Source organism: Homo sapiens, chromosome 2 (genome assembly GCF_000001405.40).
Source record: "Homo sapiens chromosome 2, GRCh38.p14 Primary Assembly".
In the NCBI taxonomy this organism is placed as follows: Eukaryota; Metazoa; Chordata; class Mammalia; order Primates; family Hominidae; genus Homo; species Homo sapiens.
Genome location: NC_000002.12, coordinates 99,018,375 through 99,042,625, shown reverse-complemented (window position 1 = coordinate 99,042,625; position 24,251 = coordinate 99,018,375). Strand labels below are relative to the sequence as shown.

At 36.5% G+C, this 24,251-nt stretch overlaps 1 protein-coding gene across 23 annotated transcripts in view, besides 2 other annotated features; it reads left to right on the top strand.

Annotated features, from left to right (window-relative positions):
- The window catches only part of TSGA10 (testis specific 10), a 157,706-nt gene that overhangs the window by 112,341 nt on the left and 21,114 nt on the right, over positions 1-24,251 (top strand). For 21 of the 23 annotated variants that reach the window (XM_047445934.1, XM_047445931.1, XM_047445932.1 and 18 more), the window contains 3 exons: positions 7,187-7,396; positions 22,144-22,346; positions 23,986-24,090. In XM_047445934.1, coding sequence (XP_047301890.1) covers positions 7,187-7,396; positions 22,144-22,346; positions 23,986-24,090 — 518 coding nt within the window. Of the gene's footprint in view, positions 1-7,186; positions 7,397-22,143; positions 22,347-23,985; positions 24,091-24,251 lie in introns of those variants that run through there. The other 2 variants (NR_146001.2, XM_017005037.1) reach the window with 1 other exon arrangement.
- Positions 903-2,102: an enhancer, noted in NCBI's record as "MED14-independent group 3 enhancer chr2:99656987-99658186 (GRCh37/hg19 assembly coordinates)". NCBI's record gives its function as "activates an origin of replication core promoter dependent on BRD2, BRD4, P300/CBP and CDK7 cofactors, and independent of MED14, by STARR-seq in HCT116 cells {active_cell/tissue: HCT116}" and the evidence as "EXISTENCE:reporter gene assay evidence [ECO:0000049][PMID:35650434]".
- Positions 1,424-1,703: an enhancer, noted in NCBI's record as "active region_16272". NCBI's record gives its function as "activates an Ori minimal core promoter by ATAC-STARR-seq in GM12878 lymphoblastoid cells {active_cell/tissue: GM12878}" and the evidence as "EXISTENCE:reporter gene assay evidence [ECO:0000049][PMID:35858748]".

The window sequence follows — 24,251 nt, the reverse complement described above, 5'->3', positions numbered from 1 at the left end:
CACAGACAGAAGTTCAGAAAGCTATGCCCCAAATGTTGTAAGAGATCTGCTCCTGTTCCACTCCTAGGCTTGACGGTAGAGACAGTTACTGCAGTACCCAGCTTCAAGCCATGTTACACAGTGGCCAAAGAGCAGCCTGACTGAGGTGAGGGAAATCTCGTCTGGTCAGAGCCCCAGACAGCTGACCAGCCTTCTCCGTGCTACCTGCTGGGCCCTCTCTGCTGGATGGGCTGGCCATGTCCCGTCTACAGCGCTTTCTTCCCTACTGAGGGGCCCTTTTAGGATGCCCCAGGGCCAACAAAATGCACCCAGTCATTTCTGTTCTAGAATGTGGTACCACATAAGACCTGCGCCCCAGCACATCTCAACTCAAAGACCTGTCTTGGCTCACAAAGGCTGTGAAGAGAACAATATAACACTGGCCAAGCCTCACAAAGCGAGTGACTCAAACCTTCAAAATGTTTGTGTTTATCTATAAAAATGTCATTTTCAACCAGAGAGGTTGCAGTGAGCCGAGACAGTACCACTGCACTCCAGCCTGGGCAACAGAGTAAGACCCTGTCTCAAAAAAAAAAAAAAAAAAAATGTGGGGGGGCAATTGTCTATTCATGTGCATAGCCCACTTTTTGATCAGATTGTTTGTTTCTTTCTTGCTGATTTGTTTGAGTTCCTTGTACATTCTGGATATTATTATTTTATTGGATGCGTCATTTGCAAAGATTTTCTCCCACTCTGGGGGCTGTCTGTTTACTCTGATGATTATTTCTTTTGCTGTGCAGAAGTTTTTTAGTTTAATTAAGTCGCATCTATTTATCTTTGTGTTGCATTTGCTTTTGTGTTCTTGGTAATGAAGGGTTTGCCTAAGCCAATGTCTAGAAGGGTTTTTCCGATGTTCTAGAATTTTTATGGTTTTAGGTCTTAGATTTAAGTCTTTGATCATTTTGAGTTGATTTTTGTATAAGGTGAGAGGTGAGGATCCAGTTTCATTCTTCTACATATAGCTTGCCAATTATCTCAGCACCATTTTGTTGAATAAGGTGTTCTTTCCCCACTTTATGTTTTTGTTTGCTCTCTCGAAGATCACTTGGCTGTACGTTTTGGCTTTATTTCTGTGTTCTCTATTCTGTTCCATTGGTCTATGTGCCTATTTTTATACCAGTACCATGCTATTTTGGTAACATAGCCTTGTAGTATAGTTTGAAGTTGGGTAAGTGATGCCTCCAGATTTGTTCTTTTTGCTTAGTCTTGCTTTGGGTATTGTTAGAAATGCTTGTTCCCTGGTGTCGCAAAGAAATAGCACTTGAACATAAATTTAATTCCCTCAGCAAGGCCATTTTTACTTTCTGCAGAAAGGGTGCCCATTGCAGATGGAACAATGGTGAGAGCACACTTGAGCAAAGGAAAAGCAGACATGTTTATCTCTTATGCATTTGGGTCATCCTTACTGCAGTGTCCTGCATCCATTGGCTGGAGCTGGACCTCACAATCTTAAACTGATACCCAATTTGCTAATAACCTAAAACTTTCCTAAATAGGTAAGTGCAAGAGAGAACAAAGAAGAGGAAGTTGCTTATGAAAGGTTTAAGGAAACAATAACATTTCCAAATAAGGAAGGGGCATAAGCTATGAGCTAAGACTTGCCTGGGCCTGTCCAGACATGCCTGAGTAAGCCAAAGCAACTAACTGGGCTAAAGTGTAAGAACTAATAGTTGATAGGAGGCTTTAGAGTAAGGAACTGTTATTCCTAGTGTCTATTATTTTATTTTTAAATCAAGACGAACTTTGAAGATTAACTTTTCTACTTTCTACAGTATGCTGGCTCTTTTTTAGTCATATACGAATTTTAGGATGTTTAGGTTTTTTTTTTTCTGGTTCTATGAAGAATGATGATGGTATTTTGATAGGAATTGCCTTGAATTTGTATATTGTTTTTGGCAGTATGCTCATTTTTACAATATTGATTCTACCCATCCATGAGCATGGGATGTATTTCCATTTGTTTGTGTCATAAATGATTTCTTTCAGCAGTGTTTTGTAGTTTTCCTTGTAGAGCTCTTTCACCTCCTTGGTTAGGTATATTCCTAAGTTGTGTTTTTTTGTTTTTTGTTTTTTGTTTTTGCTATTGTAAAAGGAGTTGAGTTCTTGATTTGATTCTCAACTTGGTCACTGTTGGTGTATAGCAGTGATGATTTATGTACATTGATTTTGTATACTGAATTCATTTATCAGATCTGGGAGCTTTTGGATGAATCTTTAGAGTTTTCTAGGTATATGATCCTATAATTGGCGAACAGTGACAATTGACTTCCTCTTTACCAATTTGGGTGCCTTTTATTTCTTTCTGTTGTCTGATTGCTCTGGCTAAGACTTCCAGTACTATGTTGAATAGAAGTAGTGAAAGTGGGCATTCTTGTCTTGTTCTAGTTCTTAGGGGGAATGCTTTCAACTTTTCCCCATTCGGTAATATTGTCTGTGGGTTTGTCATAGATGGCTTTTATTACCTTAGGGTATGTCCCTTCTATGCTGATTTTGCTGAGGGTTTTAATGATAAAGGAATACTGGAGTTTGTCATATGTTTTGTCTGCATCTATGGAGATGATCATGTGATTTTTGTTTTTAATTCTGTTTATGTGGTCTATCATATTTATTGACTTACTTACGTTAAACCATCCCTGCATCCCTGATATGAAACCCATTTGATCATGATGTATTATCTTTTTGTTATGCTGTTGGATTCGGCTAGCTAGTATTTTATTGAGGATTTTTGCAGCTATGTTCATCAGGGATATTGGTCTGTAGTTTTCTTTTTTTGTTATGTCCTTTCCTAGTTTTGGTATTAGTGTGATATTGGCTTCATAGAATGATTTAGGGAGCATTCTCTCTTTCTCTGCCTTGTGGAATAATTTCAGTAGGATTGGTACCAGTTCTTTGAATGACAGAATTCAGCTGTGAATTCATCTGGTCCTGGACTTTTCTTCATTGGCAGGCAGTTTTTTGTTTTTGTTTCTTGTTTTTTTTGTTTTTTACCATTTGAATCTTGCTGCTTGTAATCTAGAAGGGTTGTATATTTCCAGGAATTTATCCATTTCCTCTAGGTTTTCTAGTTTATGCATGTAACAATGTTCATAGTAGCCTTGAATGATCTTTTGTATTTCCGTGGTATTGGTTGTAATAGCTCCCATTTCGTTTCTAACTGGACTTATTTGGATCTTCTCTGCTCTTTTCTTGGTTAATCTCACTAATAGTCTATCAGCTTTGTTTATCTTCTCAACCAGCTTTTTGTTTCTTTTATCTTTTGTAGTGGTTTTTTTTTTTTTGGTTGTTTCCATTTTAATTCTGCTCTGATCTTTGTTATTTCTTTTCTTCTGCGGGGTTTGAGTTTGGTTTGTTCTTGTTTCTCTAGTTCCTTGAGGTGTGACCTTAGATTGTGCTCTTTCAGACTTTTTGATTTAGGCATTTAATAGTATGAACTTTCCTCTTAGTACCACTTTTGCTGTATCCCAGAGGTTTTGATAAGTTGTGGCACTATTATTGTTCAGCTCAAATAATTTTTTAATTTCCATCTCGATTTCATTGTTGAACCAGAGATCATTCAAGAGCAGATTATTTAATGTCCATATATTTTTATAGTTTTGAGGGTTCCTATTGGAGGTAATTTCCAGTTTTATTCCATTGTGGTTTGAGAAGATACTTGATATAAATTTGATTTTTAAAAATTTATTGAGACTTGTTTTATGGCCTATCATATGGTCTGTTTTGGAGAATGTTCCTTGTGCTGATGAATAGAATGTATGTCCTGCAATTGTTCGGTAGAATGTTCTGTAAATATCTGTGAAGTGCATTTGTTCTAGGGTATAGTTTAAGTCCATTGTTTCTTTTTAAACTTTCTGTCTTAATGACCTGTCTATTGAAGTCCCCCACTATTATTGTGTTGCCATCTATCTCATTTTTTAGGTCTAGTAGTAATTGCTTATAAATTTGGGAGCTCCAATGTTAGATGCATAAATATTTAGAACTGTGAGATTTTCCTGTTAGACTCTTCCTTTTATCATTATATAATGTCCCTCTTTGTCTTTTTTAACTGTTGTTGCTTTAAAGTTTGCTTTGTCTGATATAAGAATAGCTACTCCTGCTCGCTTTTGGTTTTCATTTTGTATGGAATATGTTTTTCCACCCCTTTACTTAAGTTTGTATGAGTCCTTATGTGTTAGGTGAGTCTCTTGAAGACATCAGATACTTATTTAGTGTATTCTTATCAATTCTGCCATTCTGTGTCTTTTAGGTAGAGCATTTAGACCATTTACATTCAATGTTAGTATTGAGATGTGAGGTACTATTATTCATTATGCTACTTGTTGCCTGAATACTTTGTTTTTCTTTAATTGTGTTATTGTTTTATAGGCCTTGTGAGAGTTATACTTTAAAGAGATTCTATTTTGGTGTATTTCAAGGTTTTGTCTCAAGATTTAGAACTCCTGTCAGCAGTTCTCATAGTGCTGACATGGTAGTGGCAACTTCTCTCAGCATTTGTCTGAAAAAAAACTTTTTTTTTTTTCATTTTTGAAGCTTAGTTTCACTGGAGACAAAATCTTGGCTGATAATTGTTTTGTTTAAGGAGGTAAAAGATAGGACCCCAATCCCTTCTAGCTTGTATGGTTTCTGCTAAGAAATCTGCTATTAATCTGATAGGTTTTTCTTTATAGGTTACTGGATGCTTTTGCCTCACAGATCTTAAGATTCTTTCTTTTGTGTTTATTTATTTATTTATTTATTTTTGAGATGGAGTTTCGCTCTTGTTGACCAGGGGCAGTGCAATGGCGCGATCCCAGCTCACTGCAACCTCTGCCTCCTGAATTCACATGATTCTTCTGCCTCAGGCTCCAGAGTAGCTGGGATTACAGGCACCCACCACCACACCCAGCTAATTTTTTGTATTTTTAGTAGAGACAGGGTTTCATTATGTTGGCCAGGCTGGTCTCGAACTCCTGGCCTCAGGCGATCCACCTGCCTCGGCCTCCCAAAGTGCTAGGATTACAGACGTGAGCCACCACACCCGGCCAGGTTATTGATTTTAGATATTCCTTCTTTTCTAATATATGCACTCAGTGCTATAAATTTCTTGTAAGTACTGCTTTAACTACATGCCACAAATTTTGGTAAGTTATATTTTAATTTTTGTTTCATTCAAAATATTCTAAATTTTTTTTGTGATTTCTTCTTTGACCTATGTGTTATTTAGAAGTATGTTGTTAAATTTCTAAATATTTTGGGATTTTCCAACTATCCTTCTGTTAATGTATTTCTAGTTCAACTCCATTGTGATCTGAGAGTATACTTTGTATGATTTTTGCTCTTTTAAGTTTGTTTAGATGTGTTTTATAGGGCATACGTAGTCTGTCTTAGTGAATGTTGCATGTGAGCTTGAAAAGAATGTGTATTCTGCTGTTTTTGGATAAAGTACTCTGTAAATATCTAGATCCAATTGATTGATAACGCTGTTCAGTTGAATTGTATCCTTGCTGACTTTCTGCCTGCTTGATCTGTCAGTTACTGATACATGGGTGTTGCATTCTCCAATAATAATCTATAATAGTAATCTAGAATAGTAGATATGGGTATCTCTCCTTGCCATCCTATCAATTTTTTTGGCTTACGTATGTTGGCATGCTCTGTTGTTAGGAATGTGCACATTAAGGATTGTTATGTCTTCTTTGAAAATTAACTTTTTACAATCATTATGTCATGCCCTCTCTTTATTACTGATAATTTTCCTTTCTCTGAAATTTGCTTTGTCTGAAATTAATGTAGCTACCCCAACTTTCCTTTTATTAGCATTAACATTTGAATATTAATATTAATTTATCGTAGCTAAATAAGTAGATCTTGTTTTCTTATCCACTCTGACCATTTGTCTTAATTGGGGTATATAGATTAGTCACAGTTAAAGTAATTATAGTTGGATTAATATTTCCCATATTTATAAGTATCTTTAATTTATTGCCCCGTTCATTTGTTTGTTTAGTCTTCAGCTGCTCTTCTGCCTTTTCTGGTTTTAATCGAGCATGTTATATAATTCCATTTTGTTTTTTCTCTTAGGGTATTAATTATATTTTCTTTGTATGTATTTATATAGTTATTTGTATCATTATTTGATTAATATATGACTTCTCTAGTAGTCTGGATGTTTCATTAGAGCAGATACCACATACCATCGAATATGTACCTAGCCACAGTGACTGGAACATAGAGTATATTCAATATATATGTGATGAATGGGTGGGTGGATGGAAGGATGGATAAAAAGTTGGCTTGGAGAATAAGAAAGAGTGAGTGAGGAAGGAAGGGAAGAGATAGAGAGAAAGTAGGAGTGAATTATGGCCAAATAACTTATAATGGGAGCAAATTCTAGTGCTTTACACTTGTAAAATCACTTGTAAAAACACATAAATTTATTTGCCTCTCAGTTCTACTTGTCTTCACATTATAGCAAACAAATACTTCTCTGTAGGTGGCAGTGCACTTACATAAGACATTTTTCTGAAAGAAAAGGGTGGGGGTGGAATTATCTTGAACATTCGAAAGCATTTATGTAACTTGAATCTCATAGTTTTAAAAACACACTCTTATTTCCTATAATGTGGATATATACTTAATTTATACTTGCCCTTAGTCTCTTTCCCTCAGAGGTATTAGTAAGTGTTAAAGAGTTATCAGTTTTCATTTTATGACATTATGATTGAAATTGACATGCCAGTCAAGAATTCAAAAACAGATGTTGTGAATAAAACAGTGGCTAGCATTTTTGTTTTTAACAACAACAATAGCATTTGTATTATAAAATAATTGAAACTGGCTAATATAGGTAAAACTGTTGGTCAAATGATATATCTCAACTAGTTTTGGGGCTGGAGACTTTTAAGTGGGAAAGGTTTTTTTTTCCTAAGTACATTAAAAAGAATGACCAGTTGACCATCCTGCTCATGAATTTTATGTAAAAAAAAAAAAAGTCAAAACCTGAATTTATCTTAGACTGTTTTGTACATATTGTTACCACCTGTATTATTTAAACTTCATACAATCTAAGTGCACTACTCTTAGATTTGCCCCACTTCATTTTTCCATGTTATAGTTTCCTTCCAGTTTAATATATATGTATACATACATATATATAATTTTATTCTTACAGCACTTAAATGCAGAAAGGTCTTACAAGTCCCAGATTTCTACCTTACATAAATCTGTTGTAAAAATGGAAGAGGAGCTTCAGAAGGTTCAGTTTGAAAAAGTGTCCGCTCTTGCAGATTTGTCTTCTACTAGGGAACTCTGTATTAAACTTGACTCAAGCAAAGAACTTCTTAATCGACAGCTGGTTGCTAAAGATCAAGAAATAGAAATGGTATGTAATATATTTTAAAAATCTTTAAAATTGCTATTACTGTAAAGTTAGTATAATTTTGGAAAAGTAAGTTCTTTTTTATGTAATATTACATGAATCCATGTCTTTGAACTTAGATTTTATTTTTAAAATCCAAGAGGTTAGTTTATGACAGCTGTATTCCAGACAACTTAAGACTGTAACAGAAACTCTTCCTTTGAGCATGTAATTTGCATTTACTTTTAGCCAGCAGAATCATAAAACACATTGACATAGCGATCAGCAAAGAACCATGAGGTTGAGGTTTATTTAGCTAAATTGTAACTTTAATGATATTCTTTTAAGCTAAATTTATTTACTAATTGGCCGGGTTCTTTTAACTGTAACTCAGTTGATTGTATCTACTTTGTGCCTGACATTCTACTTGCCACAGGGAGTATAATATTCAAAAGATATAGGTTCCTGTCCTCAGGGACTTCCCATTGACATACAAATAATTTGTAATGAATGATATATTAATAAGAGACACTAAAAGCTTTATAGAGGAAATTTCTATTCAGCCCAGGAATATCAGGGAGGAGTACACAAGGAGATACTCAGGAGCTCTAAAGGAATGAGGCATCCCATTCAGAAGGAAAAACAACACAGACAAGGGTATGGAGTGAATAATAAGTACTTTGTAATGGCTAGTGTAGCATGCATGGGAGGAAGTGGCTGGAGAGATAGAGCCCGAATTTTAAAGGGGTATGTATAGAAGATGCATAGTGTATTTGAAATAGTGGAAAATTTTGGTCATGTTTAAAGTTCTGTTATTACCAAACCCTATTGAACCTTTATTTTTTTTATTTTTGAGATGGAGTCTCACTCTGTCGCCAGGCTGGAGTGCAGTGGCATGATCTCGGCTCACTGCAACCTCCGACTCCCTGGTTCAAGCGATTCTCCTGCCTCAGCCTCCCGAGTAGCTGGGATTACAGGTGCCCGCCACCACACCTGGCTGATTTTTGTATTTTTAGTAAGACAGTATTTCACCATGTTGGCCAGGCTGGTCTTGAACTCCTCGACTTTAATCCAGAATGTATGGAGATTTGAAGTTGTCTCAAACATACTTTTAAAGCCACCATCATTTGCACTCTCAAGCAGTTGATCCTCTTCTAGCATGGATAAAGTCAATTCACCTAGCATATTCACAAATGGGTTGCAGATCCATTCCTTCCAAGTTCAGGGGTCTTTTGTGATTGGGAAGTAATGCTCAAACTCTTTTGAAAGCTGAGCTAGGTGATCATACACCAACTGGGAGAAAGAAGGCCCTGGCTCACCCTCCTTCAAAATCTCTGTTAATGTTTGAAAAATGTCAAAAATCCCAGTGTTCACTCGTTGCCCCCATAATTCCAGTTTGGCTTTTTTTGTTTGTTTTGTTTCGTTTCGCTCTGTCACCCAGGCTGGAGTGCAGTGGCGTGATCTTGGCTCACTGCAGCCTCCGCCTCCCGGGTTCAAACAATTCTCCTGCCTCAGCCTCCCAAGTAGCTGGGATTACAGGTGCCCACCACCACACCTGGCTGATTTTTGTATTTTTAGTAAGACAGCATTTCACCATGTTGGCCAGGCTGGTCTTGAACTCCTGACCTCAAGTGATCTGCCCACCTCAGCCTCCCAGTGCTGGGATTACAGCAGTTTAGTTTTGAATGTAGCCACTTTATCTGCCAACTTGAACACAGTTGTCATTCTCCCCTGAAGTGACAGATAGAGTTTGTTGAGCAGGCTGTATAGGTCATACAAGTAAGCAAGTTTTGAGACCCATTCTCTGTCACTAAAATGTGCTTCCAGTGGTGACATTTTCTGAAAGAAATCTCTGAAGTTGCTCTCATAACTCAAAAACTCTGGCCAGTGATACACCTTTAGAAAGTCATCTCACTTCTGTATATAAGAGAAGACGTGTTTGCTCTGCATCCATCTCTTCACAGAGCTATGCGAACAGACATGAGTTAAGGGCATGTACTTTAATGTGGCTGATAATTTTAATCACATCCTGCAAAACGTTGTTAAGTTCAGGTGACATTTTTTGGATAGCCAGCATTTCTCTATAGATGACACAGTGTGTAGACTCACATTCAGAAGCGACCTCTTTGACCCAAGTAATGAAATCAGAAAGCTATCCAGCCATGGCAACCACTGCCATCTGCTCATATACTGACACAAAATGACCAATTCAGTTTTCCTGATGTGTAGTCATTCAAAGACTTGAGTAGTCTGCAACTGTGATGTTGGTTGGCAACAAAAGCGCACATAACATGTCTTCATGCACATGCTCCTGAAAAATATATCACACAGAAACAAGCATTGTTGCCTTGCCGTCAACATCCGTAGACTCGTCAACCTGGATTGCATACCACGGTGACTCATTAATCCTCTCTAACAATTGTCTCACAATATCCTCTGTTATTTCATCAATTCATCTAGTTATTGGTGCTAGCCAAAAGAGGAACATGTGCCACCTTTTGAACTTCAGCCTCTCCTAAAATTTTATGACATTATCCTTATCAGTAGGCAGGATCAACTCTCCACCAATAGCAAAGGGCTTCTTAGCATTAGCAATGTGTTTAGCCACTAAGAATGATGCTCTCAGTGGAGACACATTTGATGAAGTGGTGGCCTTTAATAATTGCTTCTGTTCTTTGTGTTCACATTTTTTTTCTTTTGAGAAACTCCAAAGTCTTGTCTTTTAATACAGGGTGCTTGGTCTCCAAGTGGCAAAGCAGTTTTGAAGGTTTCATGGTTTCACTGGATAGCCGGTCACTACATATTATACAAAGTAGACTTGGAGAATGTGAATCTACCTGTTGCAATGAACCCGTAATTTAAGTGGGACTTGGTATTTTCTTTTAAATGCAGCGTTCCTTTTGTTGATAGTCTTAGATTCTTCTGCTGTCTCATCATTGGGTCTTTTGCCCTTTTCAAAGGAGCTCTCTAGTGATGTTTGTTTTTTACTCATTTTGGCTATGGTTAGCTTGTGGGTTTACCAAAACTATGACTGAGACAAGTACTCAGTGCAGGAAAGAGACACGGATGGAAGTGGTAAATAAAAAAATGGGCAGGCCACATGCAGACTAAAATAAGTGTCAGATTCTGACTTAAAGCCTGCCACTAGATGCAACTGTACAATTGAAGCACATCAACTCACTTGCCACTATAAAGCCTACTACCAGATGCAACTTAATTTTCACTTGCCACTCAGCAATAGGGTTTTGATATGAGTCTGCAAGCAATTGATTTATTAAGGTCTCTGTGCAGTCAAACCTCTCTGCTAATGTTAATCTATATTTGCAGCAGCTCCCCAGAGCTAAGATCAGTGCCTCAGCTCCACCTCAGATCATCAGGCATTAGATTCCTTTAAAGAGTGCACAACTGAGATCCCTTGCCTGTGGAACACAATAGGGTTCCACTCCTATGAGAATCTAATGCTGCTGCAGATCTGACAGGAGGTGGAGTTCAGACAGTAATGCGAGTAATGGGGAGCAGTTGTAAATACAGATGAAGCTTTGCGGGCTCACCTGCCATTCACCTCCTGCTGTGTGGCCTGGTTCCTAACAGACCACAGACTGGTAGCAGTCTGTGGCCCAGGGGTTAGGGACTCCTGCTTTATCAGACATGTGGTTTGCAAATATTTTCTTTCACTAAGTATGTGGCTTGTGGTTTTTATTCTCTTAACAGGGTCTTTCTCAATTAAAAAGTTTTCAATTTTGATGAAGTCGCATTTATAAATTTTCCTTTTATGGATTGTGCTTTTGGCTTTAAGTCTAAAAATTATTTGCTATAGCTCTAAATCTCAAAGATTTTCCTACTTCTTATTCTAAATGTTTTATAGTTTTATTTTTCACATTTAATTCCGTGACCCATTTTGAGTTAATTCTGCGTAAAGTGTGAGGTTGACATAGAGGTTCTTTTTTTTTTTTTTTTTTTTTTTTTTGGCCTATGAGTATCCACCTTCTTCTGTACCATTTGTTTAAAAAGCTATCTTTCTGCCATTGAATTGATTTTGTACCCTTGTGAAAAATCAATTGGGTATATTTGTGTGGGTCTATTTCTTGGTTTTCTATTCTTTTACATTTACCTATGTATCTGTCTTTCCCCCAATACCACAGAATTTTGTTTACTGTAGTTATATATTAAGTCTTTAATTTAGGTTCATCTGCTTTATTCTTTTTTTTTCAAAATTGTTTTAGGTATTCTAATCTCTTTGATTTTTCACATAAATTTTAGAATAATCTTTTTATATCTTCAAAAATCCTGCTTGAATTTTGATAGGAATTGCATTAAAATTGCATTAACTTGGGGAGAATTAACATCTTTACTATGCTAAGGCCTCCAATTCATGAACGTGGTATGTCTTATTTAGATTTTCCTTGATTTCTTTTGTTAACTGTGTAGTTTTCAGCATGCAAGTTCTGTACATGTTTGGATTTCCACCTACAAAATAAAAAGAAGTATTCTTTTTTTGAGCTATTGTAAGTGGTATTTTAGTGTTAATGTCATTGTCAACGTGTTCCTTGCTAGTATGTAGAAGTACAATTGATTTTTGTTTTTTGTTTTCTTTTGGTTTGGTTTTAGAGATTGGGTCTCACTCTGTCACCCAGGCTGGAGTGCAGTGGCACACAGATTACTGCAGTCTTGAACCCCTGGGCTCAAGTAATTCTTTCACCTCAGCCTCCCAAGTAGCTAGGTGGCACTACAGACATGTGTCACCATGCCTGGCTAATATTTTGATTTTTGTAGAGATGGGGTCTTGCTATGTTGCCCAGGCTGGTCTCGAACTTCTGGCCTTAAGCAATCCTCCTGCCCCAGCCTCCCAAAATGCTGGGATTACAGGCGTTAGCCAGCATGCCCAGCCAATAATTTTAATTTTTTTTGAGACAGAGCCTTGCTCTGTCCCCCAGGCTGGAGTACAGTGGCACTATCTTGGCTCACTGCAACCTCCACCTCCCAGGTTGAAGTGATTCTCCTGCCTCAACCTCCCGAGTAGCTGGGATTACAGGCATGTGCCAACACACCCAGCTAATTTTTGTGTATTTAGTAGAGACGGGGTTTCACCATATTTCCCAGGCTGGTCTCGAACTCCTGACCTCAAGTTATCTGCCTGCCTCAGCCTCCCAAAGTGCTGGGATTACAGGCATGAGCCACCGTGCCCAGCCAACAATTTTAATTTTTGAATGTTTATCTTGTGTCCTATGAACTTGCCAAATCCACTTACTAGTTCTAGGAGTTTTCCTGCAGATTCCATGGGGTTTTCTAGGTAAACAACCACTATATCTGAAAATAAGAACAGTTTTATTATTTTCTGATCTGTTTGCCTTTTCTTGCCTTCTTGCACTGTTTCGTACTTAAGCACGGTGTCAGTTAAGAATGGTGAAAGTGGACATCTTACCTTCTTCCCAATATTAGGCAGAAAGCATTCAGTGTTTCACCACTAGTGTTATCTGTAGTATTTTGCAGTTGTTCTTTATCAAGTAGAGGGATTTCCCCTCTATTCCCATATTTCTAAGAGGTTTTATCATAGATTGATATTGAATTTTGTCAAATGCTTTTTCAGCATCTAATTATAAGATCCAATGATTTTTCTTATTTAGCCTATTAATATGATAGATCACATTAATTGTTTTTGAATATTGAACCAGCCTTCCATCCCTGAGATCATTCAGGTAATTTTAAATAAGAAAAGAGAAGTTAGGGTCAAAAATATCTATATTGCCACCTTCATTCTCCTATAAAAATAGTTTAAAGCACTATCTGGACCTTTTGTTCAGTCTTAGTTTTCTTTGCTTTTCTTTTTTTTTAAATACATTTACTGAGATATATTTGTTGATATATAATTCACACTATATAATATACCCTGGTCTTGATTTTCTATCTCTAAATTAATACCATATCTATTAACTAACTCTTCTCAAGGAATTTTGAGAACATGAATTCCAAATATTCTTCCTTTAGCATCTTTTAATGAATGCTTATGTTATGGGTGATTTCCTTAGGCATAATATGAGAAGTGCTTTGGAGAATCTCATATAATTTTTGAAGGAAGCAAAGGATTTTTAAAAATGTAGTCATCACCTTAGGCTACAATGGATTTCAGAACCTAAAACTAGAATAAGGTACTTTCTCCCACTATAGACATTTTGTCACATTTCCTTCTGGCCTTTTCTTTTCCTGGCCAGATTTTTGTGTTCTTTTGCATAGTTGCAAAATAATATATTAAATGGATTATTCTACTTTTTACCATTTCTGTATAAAAAATGTAAAATTTTTATTGTATAAAACAACATGGAAAATTTTTTTACGTAAAACTTTTATCACATTTTGCATTATATCCTTAAGATGGATTCCCACAAGTGGAAATTTTGGCACATACAGCCAACGAGCTTTCAAAAAGCCACTGCTTCACAATTAAGAGGAAACATCACGAAAACAAAAATGGAAACAATAGACCAGTTAGAAGTTGAATAGAGAACCATGGACAGCAGCAGCTAACAAGAGCCCTTCTGGGATCAGAGCAAGCCTCAAAAACTTGCCTCAAAACTACCCCTTCTGTGAGTTTGACAGAGAGTAGAATGGTGGTGATGAGGGGCTGGGGGTGAGGGGAGTAGGGGAAGAAGGGAGACGTTGGACAAGGGGTGCAAATTTTCAGTTACAAGGTGAATAAGTTTGGGAGATCTAATGTACAGCATGGTAACTACAGTTAATATACTGTATACTTGAAACTTGCTGTGAATAGATCTCATGTGTTCTTAACACACACATACAACAGTAACTAGTTGAGAGGTGATGGATATGTTAGTTAGCTTAATTGTGGCAATCATTCTATAATGTATGTGTGTATCAAAACATCATGTTATATTCCTTAAGTATATATAATTTTTATTTGTCAATCGTACCTCAACAACGCTTGGGTTGGGAAGTAGTACCCCTGCAAAGGGATCAAATGTAATTGGATCAGACTGTGAAGCAAGGTAACCCACAGTTGATTATCAAAATAAATAGAACAGTCAGCTAGCAATTAATAGAGGCTAATAGTTGGATTTGATACCAGTAGGGACAGACCAGCCAGACACTTAACAGGGAGATCAGAGAGAGACAGTCAAAGAGAGCCTGGCTAAATCCATTGCATCCTAGCGGGAGGGGCTAGAATGACTGTGTAAATGCCCATGGGAAGGGATCGGGGTAACTATGTGCATACCCTGAGGAGCAACATCGGAGGCTATATACCGCAAGGGAAACAGACATCATAGAAACAATCCAGACAAATAAATAAGGAAATAAGCCAACCATAACAAGCCCCAAGATGGGGAGGATCAGTATTTAGAGATGCTACAATATATTATTTAAAATTTCTGGTTTTCAACAACAAAAATTTAACCCTCAAAAAGCCAGGAAAATGCAGCCCATCCATAGGAAAATAAAGCAAACAAAAGAAACTGTCTTTTAGAGCAGCTTATTATTTCCTTATTATTAGTCTCTATTTGATGAGACATTGTTATTAGGCCTTCTTTTACTTTTTTCTTTCTTTTTTTAGTTGACAAATAATAATTATGTATATTTATGGAGTATAATGTGATGTTTTGGTCTATGTATGTAGACAGATTTGATGTATGTATGGCAGACAGGTTTAATTAAGCTAATAACATATCAATCAACTTATCAACTTATTTTTTGCATGATATCATTAAAATTTTATTCTTTTAGCAATTTTGAATTATACAGTAGATTATTATTAACTGTGGTCACCATGCAATGTAATAAATCACCAAAACTTATTTCTCCAGTCTAACTAAAACTTTGGACTCTGATCAACATCTCCCCTTTCTCCATCCTTCCTCCTCCCACCATTCTACTCTCTGTTTCTATAAAGTCAGCTTGTTTAGATTCCACTTATAAGTAAGATCATACAGTATTTGTCTTTCTTTGCCTGGCTTATTTCATTTAGCATGATGTCCTCCAATTCCACCCAGGTTGCCATGAATGACAGAATTTTTTTCTTTTTAAAGGCCGTATAGTAGGAGTTCCCAACCCTTGGGCCGCAGACCTGTACGGGCCCATAGCCTGTTACCACAGACTGGTACCAGTCCTAGCCGCACAGCAGGAGGTGAGCGGTGGGTGAGTGAGCATTACTGCCTGAGCTCCACCTCTTGTCAGATCAGCAGTGGCATTAGATTCTCATAAAAGCGTGCACCCTATTGTGAACTGCGCATGCAAGGGATCTAGGTTGCACACTCCTTGTGAGAATCTAACTAATGCCTGATGATCTGAGGTGGAACAGTTTCATCCCAAAACCATCCCCACCCCGACTGCTGTCCATGGAAAAATTGTCTTCCATGAAACCAGTTCCTGGTGACAAAAAGGTTGGGGACCGCTGCTGTATAGTATTCCATTTTGTATATATACCACGTTTTCTTTATCAATTCATCCATTTATGGCCTTACTTTACCTCCTTAAGTATGACTTCCTTTATTTCTTTGAACATATTTAAAAGAGCTGCTTTGGGCCGGGCGTGGTGGCTCATGCCTATAATCCCAGCACTTTGGGAGGCTGAGGCGGGCAGATCACGAGGTCAGGAGATCGAGACCATCCTGGCTAACACGGTGAAACCCTGTCTCTACTAAAAAAAATACAAAAAAATTAGCCAGGCGTGGTGGCAGGTGCTTGTAGTCGCAGCTACTTGGGAGGCTGAGGCAGGAGAATGGCATGAACCTGGGAGGCAGAGCTTACAGTGAGCCGAGATCATGCCACTGCACTCCAGCCTGGGTGGCAGAGTGAGACTCCATCTCAAAAATAAAAAAAAAAAAGAGCTACTAAGTCTGACTGTATATTTTTGTTGTCCTTTCTTCTATCAACTTCTTTAAAAGCTATAACATTTAAAAGTAATAATTGTAACAATATATCATTGGGCTTGTGACATATATAGATGTAAGTGTAAGACTAATATCACTAGTGAGAAAAGGAAGAAAAACAGCTATGTAGGAATAACATTTCTGTATTGAGCTGTAAATAAACAGTTCAACAGTAATAGTTGCAGATGTCAATACCCCACTTTCAATAATGAAGAGAGCAGCTAGGCAGAACATCAACAAGGAAATATAAGATTTCAACAACACAAAAACCAAATTGGCATTAACATAAATTTATAAAACACTCTTCCAAAAACAGTAGAATACATAGTCTTCTCAACATGGAAGATCCTCCAGAATAGATCATACATTAGGCCATAATATAAGCCTCAATAGATTTAAAAGGATTGAACTTATGCAAAATATGTTTTCCCATCACAATGGAATTGTTAGGGATTGATAAAAGAAGAATATTTTGTAAATTCACAAGTATATGAAAATTGAGCAGCACATTCCCAAATAGTGGTGAGTCAAAGAAGAAATCACAAAGGAAAAAAAGAAAATACTCTGAGATTAGTGAAAATGAATATGTACTGTGTCAAAACATATAGGATGCAGCTAAAGCAGTACTTAGAGGGAAATTTATAGCTATAAATGCCTATCTATATTAAAAAAGAAGAAAACTCTTAAGTCACTAACCTAGCCTTCCACTTAGAACACTGGAAAAAGGGAACAAACTAAACCCACAGCAAGAAGAATGAAAATAATAATCAAGATTAGAACAGAAACTAAGTGAAAACAATCAAGAATCAAAGAAGCCACAAGCTTGTTCTTTCAGAATACCAACAAAATTGACAAATCTTTAGCAAAGTGACAGAGCCAAATTACTAAAATCGGGAATAAGAGAAGGGACATCACTACTAACCTTATAAAAAAAGTATCATAGGGGAATATCATGAACAACTGAATGCCAAAAATTAAATGCTTAGATGAAATCAACAAATTTCCAGAAAAACACAAACTATTAAAACTGACTTAAGGAAAAGTAGAAAATCTGAATAAACCTGTAACCTAAAGAGGTGAAAATAGAAATTTTTAAACTTCCATAAAGTAATACTGAGGCCCAGATGGCTTCAGTTGTGAATTCTTCCAAATGATTCAAGATGCATTGATCCAGCATTTTTGCAAACTCTTCCAAAAGTAGAAGACAACACTTCTTAATGCATTCTATGAAGCCATTATTGCCCTGAGGCCAAAGCCAGACAAACACCTCACAGGAAAATAAAACTGCAGACCATTATCTCTTATGAATACAGATGAAAAATTCTCGAGAAAATACTATAACACTGAATCCAACAACACATAAAACGAAATTTACACCATCTAGTAAGGTTTATTCCATGAATGCTGGGTTGGTTTAACAACTGAAAAATCAATTAATACATCATCATATCAACAGAATCAAGAACGAAAACCACACAGCCTTCTCAATGGATGCAGAAAAAGCATTTGGCAAAATCCAACATTCTTGCCTGATAAAAACACTCTATAAACTAGAAATAGAAACTTTCTTGACCTCATAAAGGGCACCTGTGAAAAACCCACAGCAAACACTGTACTTAGTGGTGATTGAATGATTTTGCCCTAAGATCAGTATCAAGACAAGAATGCCCACCTTGCCTTTTCTATTCAACACTGTAGCAGAGGTTCTAGGCAGGGCAGTTAGGCAAGAAAAAGAAATAAAAGGCATCCAGATTGGAAAAGAAGTAAAACTATCTCTGTTCGCAGGTGACATGATCTGAAATATAGAAAATCCTAAGAATCCACTAAAAACGTATTAGAATTAATGAGCATCAGGGTTGTAGGACACAAGATCAATATCCAGTTATCATATTTCTTATTTCTATACATTAACAATGAACAATCTGAAAAAAAAATTATATCAAACGGAATTGCATCAAAAAGGGTAGCATTAAAAAAGGACAAATACGGCCAGACGCGGTGGCTTATGCCTGTAATCCCAGCACTTTGGGAGGCCGAGGTGGGCAGATCATGAGGTCAGGAGATCAAGACCATCCTGGCTAACATGGTGAAACCCCATCTCTACTAAAAATACAAAAATTAGCTGGGTGTGATGGCACGTGCCTGTAATCCCAGCTACTTGGGAGGCCGAGGCAGGAGAATCGCTTGAACCAGGGAGTCAGAGGTTGCAGTGAGCCAAGATTATGCCACTGCACTCTGCCTGGTGACAGAGCAAGACTCTGTCTAAAAAAAAAAAGACAAATACTTGTACTTTACAAAACTACAGAACATTGTCAACAGAAATTAAAGGAGACCTAAATAAATGGAAACACATCCCATGTTCATGGGCCAGAACACTTATCATTGTTAAGATGGCATTACTCCCAAAACTGATCCACAAATTTAATGCAATGCTTATCAGAATCCCAGGTGTCTTGTAGAAATTGTCAAACTGATCTAAAATTCATATGGAAGTGCAAGTGAATAGCCAAAACAATCTTGAAAAAGAAAAAGAAAGTTGGAGAATCACACTTCCCTGATTTCAAAACTGGCTGCAAAACTGAAGTAATCAAGACAATGTGGTACTAGCATAAGGAAAGACATAGAGGTTGATGGAACAGAATTCAGAGTCCAGAAATGGTTTATACATTTGTGCCCAAATGATTTTTCAAAATACAGGTGCTAGGACAATTCAATGAGGAAAGAATAGTATTTTTAGCAAATGGCGTTGGGACAACCTAATATCTATGTGGAAAAGAATGAAGTTGGATCACATGCAAAGATTAACTGAAAATGAATCATAGGGCTATATGTAACAGCCAAAACTGTATTAAGAAGAAAACACAGAAGTAAATCTTTGTGACCTTGGGTTAGGCAGCACTTTCTTAAATACACATCAAAAACACAAACAAAAAAAATAGATTAAGTAGACTTGATCAAAATAAAAAAAAAAACCTTCTGTGCTGCAAATGATATCATCAAGAAAGTGGCAAGACGATGCACAAGATGTGAGAAAACATTTGCAAACCATATATCTGATAAGAGATTCATATTCAAAATATGTAGTGGTGGTTCATGCCTCTAATCCTAGCACTTTGGGAGGCCTAGACAGGAGGATCGTTTGAGCCCAGGAGTTTAAGACCAGCCTGGGCAACATGGCAAAAACCCATCTCTACAAAAAATACAAAAATTAACCAGGTGTGGTGGTGCACAGTTGTATTCCCAGAGACTTGAGGGGCTGAGGTGGGAGGTTTACTTCAGTGAGCCATCTTCATGCCACTGCACTCCAGCCTGGGTGACAGAATGAGACCTTGTCTCAAAAAACAAAAAACTTAATAACCCAACTAAAAAATTAGGCAAAGGATATTAATAGACATTTCTCTACATAAGATACATAAATGGCCAATAAACACATGAAAAGATGCTGAACATCATTAATAGAAAAATGCAAATCAAAACCATACTATTTCACAACCACTAGGATGGCTGTAATCAGAGAGAAGATAAAAAATGTTGACAAAAATGTGGAAAAAGTGAAACCCTCATACATTGCTGGTGGAAATGTAAAATAGTAAGGCAACTTTGTAAAACATTTTGTCAGTTCCTCAAAATGTTAAAAATTAGATTGCCTTACAGCTCATAAATGTCACTTCTATCTATTCAAGAGGAATGAAAACATGTCCATACAAAAACTTGTATACAAATTTTTATGGCAATATTATTTATAATAGTCCCAAAGTATAATAAGTCAAATATTTTTAACTCATGAATAGAGCTGTGGTTTATCTATGCAATGGAATATTATTAGGCAATAAAAGTGATGAAGTTTTGATCCTGCTAAAACATCGATAACTCTTAAAAACATTGTGCTAATAAAGGAAGCCAGTCACAAAAGACCGCATACACATTGTTTGTTTCCGTTTATATGGAATACCCAGAATAAGGCAAATAGTAGAAAATAGTTTAGGGGTTGCCTAGGGCCAGAGAACGTTCTGTGTTGGGTGTTTTTTTTTTTTTTTTTTTTTTTTTTTTGAGACAGGGTCTCCTTCAGTGGCCGAGGCTGGAGTGCAGTGGTGCCATCTTGGCTCACTGTATCCTCAACTTCTGGGCTCAAGCAATTTCCCACCTCAGCCTGCTGAGTAGCTGGGACTACAGGCCTATGTCACCATGCCTGGCTAAGTTTTTGAATTTTTTGTAGCGATGGAGTTTCACCATGTTGCCCAGGCTGGTCTCAAACTCCTGAGCTCAAGCAATCCACCTACCTTGGCCTCCCAGAGTGCTGGGATTACAAGTGTTAGCCACCATGCCCAACCTTGAGTTTCTTTTTGGGATGATGAAAAAGTTCTCACATTAGATTGTGGTAACGATTGTACAACTGTGTTAATATGCTAAAAATCATTGATGGCATGTGAATTATATTTCAAAAAAGCTATTGTCAAAAAAATCACGGTCCATTTTCTACTCCTGCCAGCAAAGTATATGAGATTGCCATTGCCCAATGTAATGTTCATTAACACAAACTAACAAATTTGCGATAGACTAGAATAGACTAGATAGACTAGAACAGTGTCTTTGGTAGAGTTTTTCCAGTTCAGCTGAAAGAGAGTTTGCTCCCAGTGTGCATTTAGTAATGACATTTTTGGTGGTCATGACTAGAGTGGGGAATGCTGGTGGCGTTGATTGGGCAGAGGCCAGGGATACTGCTAAGCATCCTGTAATGCATAGTGCTGCCCCCACTCCAAATAATTATCCAACCCAAAACATCAGTAATGTTGAGGTAAGAAGCCCTGAACTAGTAATAGCATCTTGTTTTAGTTTATTTGATTACTAGTAAGGGTAAATTTTCCCCATACGTTTATAATTTACTTGTATTTCTCCTTTTGTAAATTTTCTGATCATTATCATTTAGCTCATATTTCTCATCAGTTTATATGCGTTCTTTATGTTAGTAGAGATATAAGCTATTAATTTGATTTACTAAGTTTATTTGTCTTCCAGTTGTTTCCTTTCAAATTTTGGTTAAGTTTATATTGACTATCAAAATGTTTATTTTTTTAATGTGATGAAACTTTTTTTTGCATTGTATCTAGCTTAGAAAATTTCCCTACCTACCTATCTCCCTTCCATGTAATTTCATTTTTATTTCTTTTCACTGGAATTTAAAGCTTACCTTTTCAAATTTAACTTTTAAATGCATATAGAATTTGTTATGTATATTACAAGATAAGGAATAATTGTTTTCTAAATACTAGTGACTGTTCTTCCTCCTTTTTAAAAAACATTTGTCTCACTGAGCATATTTTAAGGCTCAAGATAATTTTCTAAAGGAAGCTTTCCACAAGTTTATGCAAGAGAATATAAGAGATTACTCCTTATATTAATTATAATTATATTTAATTACATTATTAAATATAATTATTAATTATATTAAGAGACTATAAGAGATTACTCTTTATATAAGAATATAAGAGATTACTCCTTATATTCCTTAATTATGGAGTCCAATGACATTCTATAAGCATGTAGCTCACCTAACTCAGGACAAAGCAGTGCTCACAGATATCATCCTGTCAGTCTTGCAGGAGTATATAAAGAAATATCAAAGCTGGTAGTAGAAACTGGTTGCAGTTTGAAATTAATAAGCCTTTTCTTAAATTAATGAATTTTCTGATATGATCAGAGAGATGGAGAAAGTGATACTATACATACATGTGTGGTGTGTTTATTTGGTAAGAAGGAGGGACACAATTTCAAATCACATTAAAAGTAGTTGCCAGTTTATAACAGATTATGAAAATTTTGTGAGTCCCTGATAATATAATAGTTAAGTGAATTAATGGGAATAAGTGTAGATATCTTCTTGTTATTGAACAGAGGGAGAATGAGTTAGATTCTGCTCATTCTGAAATTGAACTCCTGAGGAGTCAGATGGCAAATGAGAGAATCTCCATGCAGAATCTAGAAGCTTTGCTGGTGGCCAATCGAGACAAAGAATATCAGTCTCAGATAGCACTTCAAGAAAAAGAATCTGAAATTCAGCTTCTTAAAGAACACCTTTGTTTGGCAGAAAATAAAATGTGAGTTGTTTAGCAATATAAAGTAAAGTCATACATCTTAATTTTTTGGTACTTTAGTAGAAATTTTAAGCTAGAATTTAGAGAATTTGCCTTCTATACTTTGCCTAAGGATCAGAAATACTGTGATTTGCCTAAGAGGTGGTACTTTTTCTATTATGTTTTTCTTATCTAAATTTAAGTTTAATGATCTCTACTGATTCTTTCCAACAGAGTTTTGAGTATGATAGAATGTCTGATCTAAAATACTGCCTTTAGGAAATATAACAAAATGAGAAAAAAAATTAACCAGTTTGAAACCAGAAGAATTTTCATATTTAGACCAATATATTGCAACCTAGTGTTTGCATTTGCCACATCATATTTTCTTTTGTACCTATTGCATGTACTGGATACCTAGAAGAACACCTGCATTCACAAAATACAGAAGACTTCCCAGGACATTGATTTTGGCTTCTTTTCTTTCTTTTTCTTTTCTTTAGGATCTCTAGCACTCCTAGCACCTTATTAAAAGACATTTGGCTGGAGAATTGGGTGGAATTGCCTCCCTGTATAGTGAATTTTTTTTCTATTAAACTTGATCATCTCTCATAAAAACTGATGGGGGACCCTTAACCCCTGTTCTTACCTGTCCCATCTGTAACACTTTTCATCCAGCCTCCACTCTGTCCTCACATCTGAGGTCAGGACATGGGGAAGGATAAGAAGCATGGTCTCAGCAATCAGCCACTCCTAGGAGCCCCTGACTAGGCAAGGGCTTCAGAGCCAGGGCCAGTTTCCTTCAGAAACTGTTTTCAGGTTATAGTGGCGGTGACTGAGTCCTTCTTTTCCATTACTGTAGCTAGCCTATTATGATTCCTTCAACAGGTTTTGCAGGATCACTTTCTCAGGATGGTAGGTGGAAATCTACCTTTTGTGAAATACGCCAAAACTTCCACCCTAAGGGCTATACTCTGTTTTAGACTGGCTGGTAAATACTAACACTTAGAATTAGCATGAGAAGTGTTTGTTATTAGTCTCTAAAGTTTAGATTTCAGCAGTCTATGATACTATCCTGAAAGCAAGTGAAGAGGATAGAATGTTCTGTGTGAGTGGCATTCATCAATGTTTATCTTCCCTATGATATTGTGCCTTATTACAGGTTTTTTGAGGCATTTTTTAGCCTTAAGGAAGATTCTATTAAATTGAAGATTGTGTATGTCAAATTTCATTATAAGGCACTTGGTTGAATAGATATATATAAAACAGACCATATTAATCATGGAGCTAGTGAATTCCGGTGTTAATTATTTGATCATACCACTACTTTATAGAATACCTCTAAGTACTTACATAAAAAACAATTTATAGTAAGTAGTATAGACAGATGATGTATAATATGTTCCCACAGGGAAGCTGAAACAGAGAAGGATTAACTAATTAAATGGGACTGGGATTGCTTAGGCTTTTCAAGTAGGCTACTCTGCATACTTACTATGTCTAACATGGGCATATTTTAGATGTACTAATAAATCTGGCCATAAAAATCACAATGTGATTTGGATCCAGCTGAGAAACCACTATCAATATGGTTTCATGTACCCCAGAATCATAGCCATATTTTAAGTTTAGTCAACTATAACTCTTATCTTCTTTTAAACAGGGCCATCCAGAGTAGAGATGTGGCCCAGTTCAGAAATGTTGTCACACAATTGGAAGCTGATTTAGACATTACCAAAAGACAACTAGGAACAGAGCGCTTTGAAAGGTAAGTTTATCTCTATGCAAGCTCAAAAACAATGCTTTTCAGCATGGAAAGCATTGTTTCTTAGGTAACAAGAGGTTTTAGTTCTTTCATGATGGTTAGATTTTCAAGTATGAATTGAGCTAGTTTTATGATAGTTTTAATAATTTTGCTGGATATAAAAT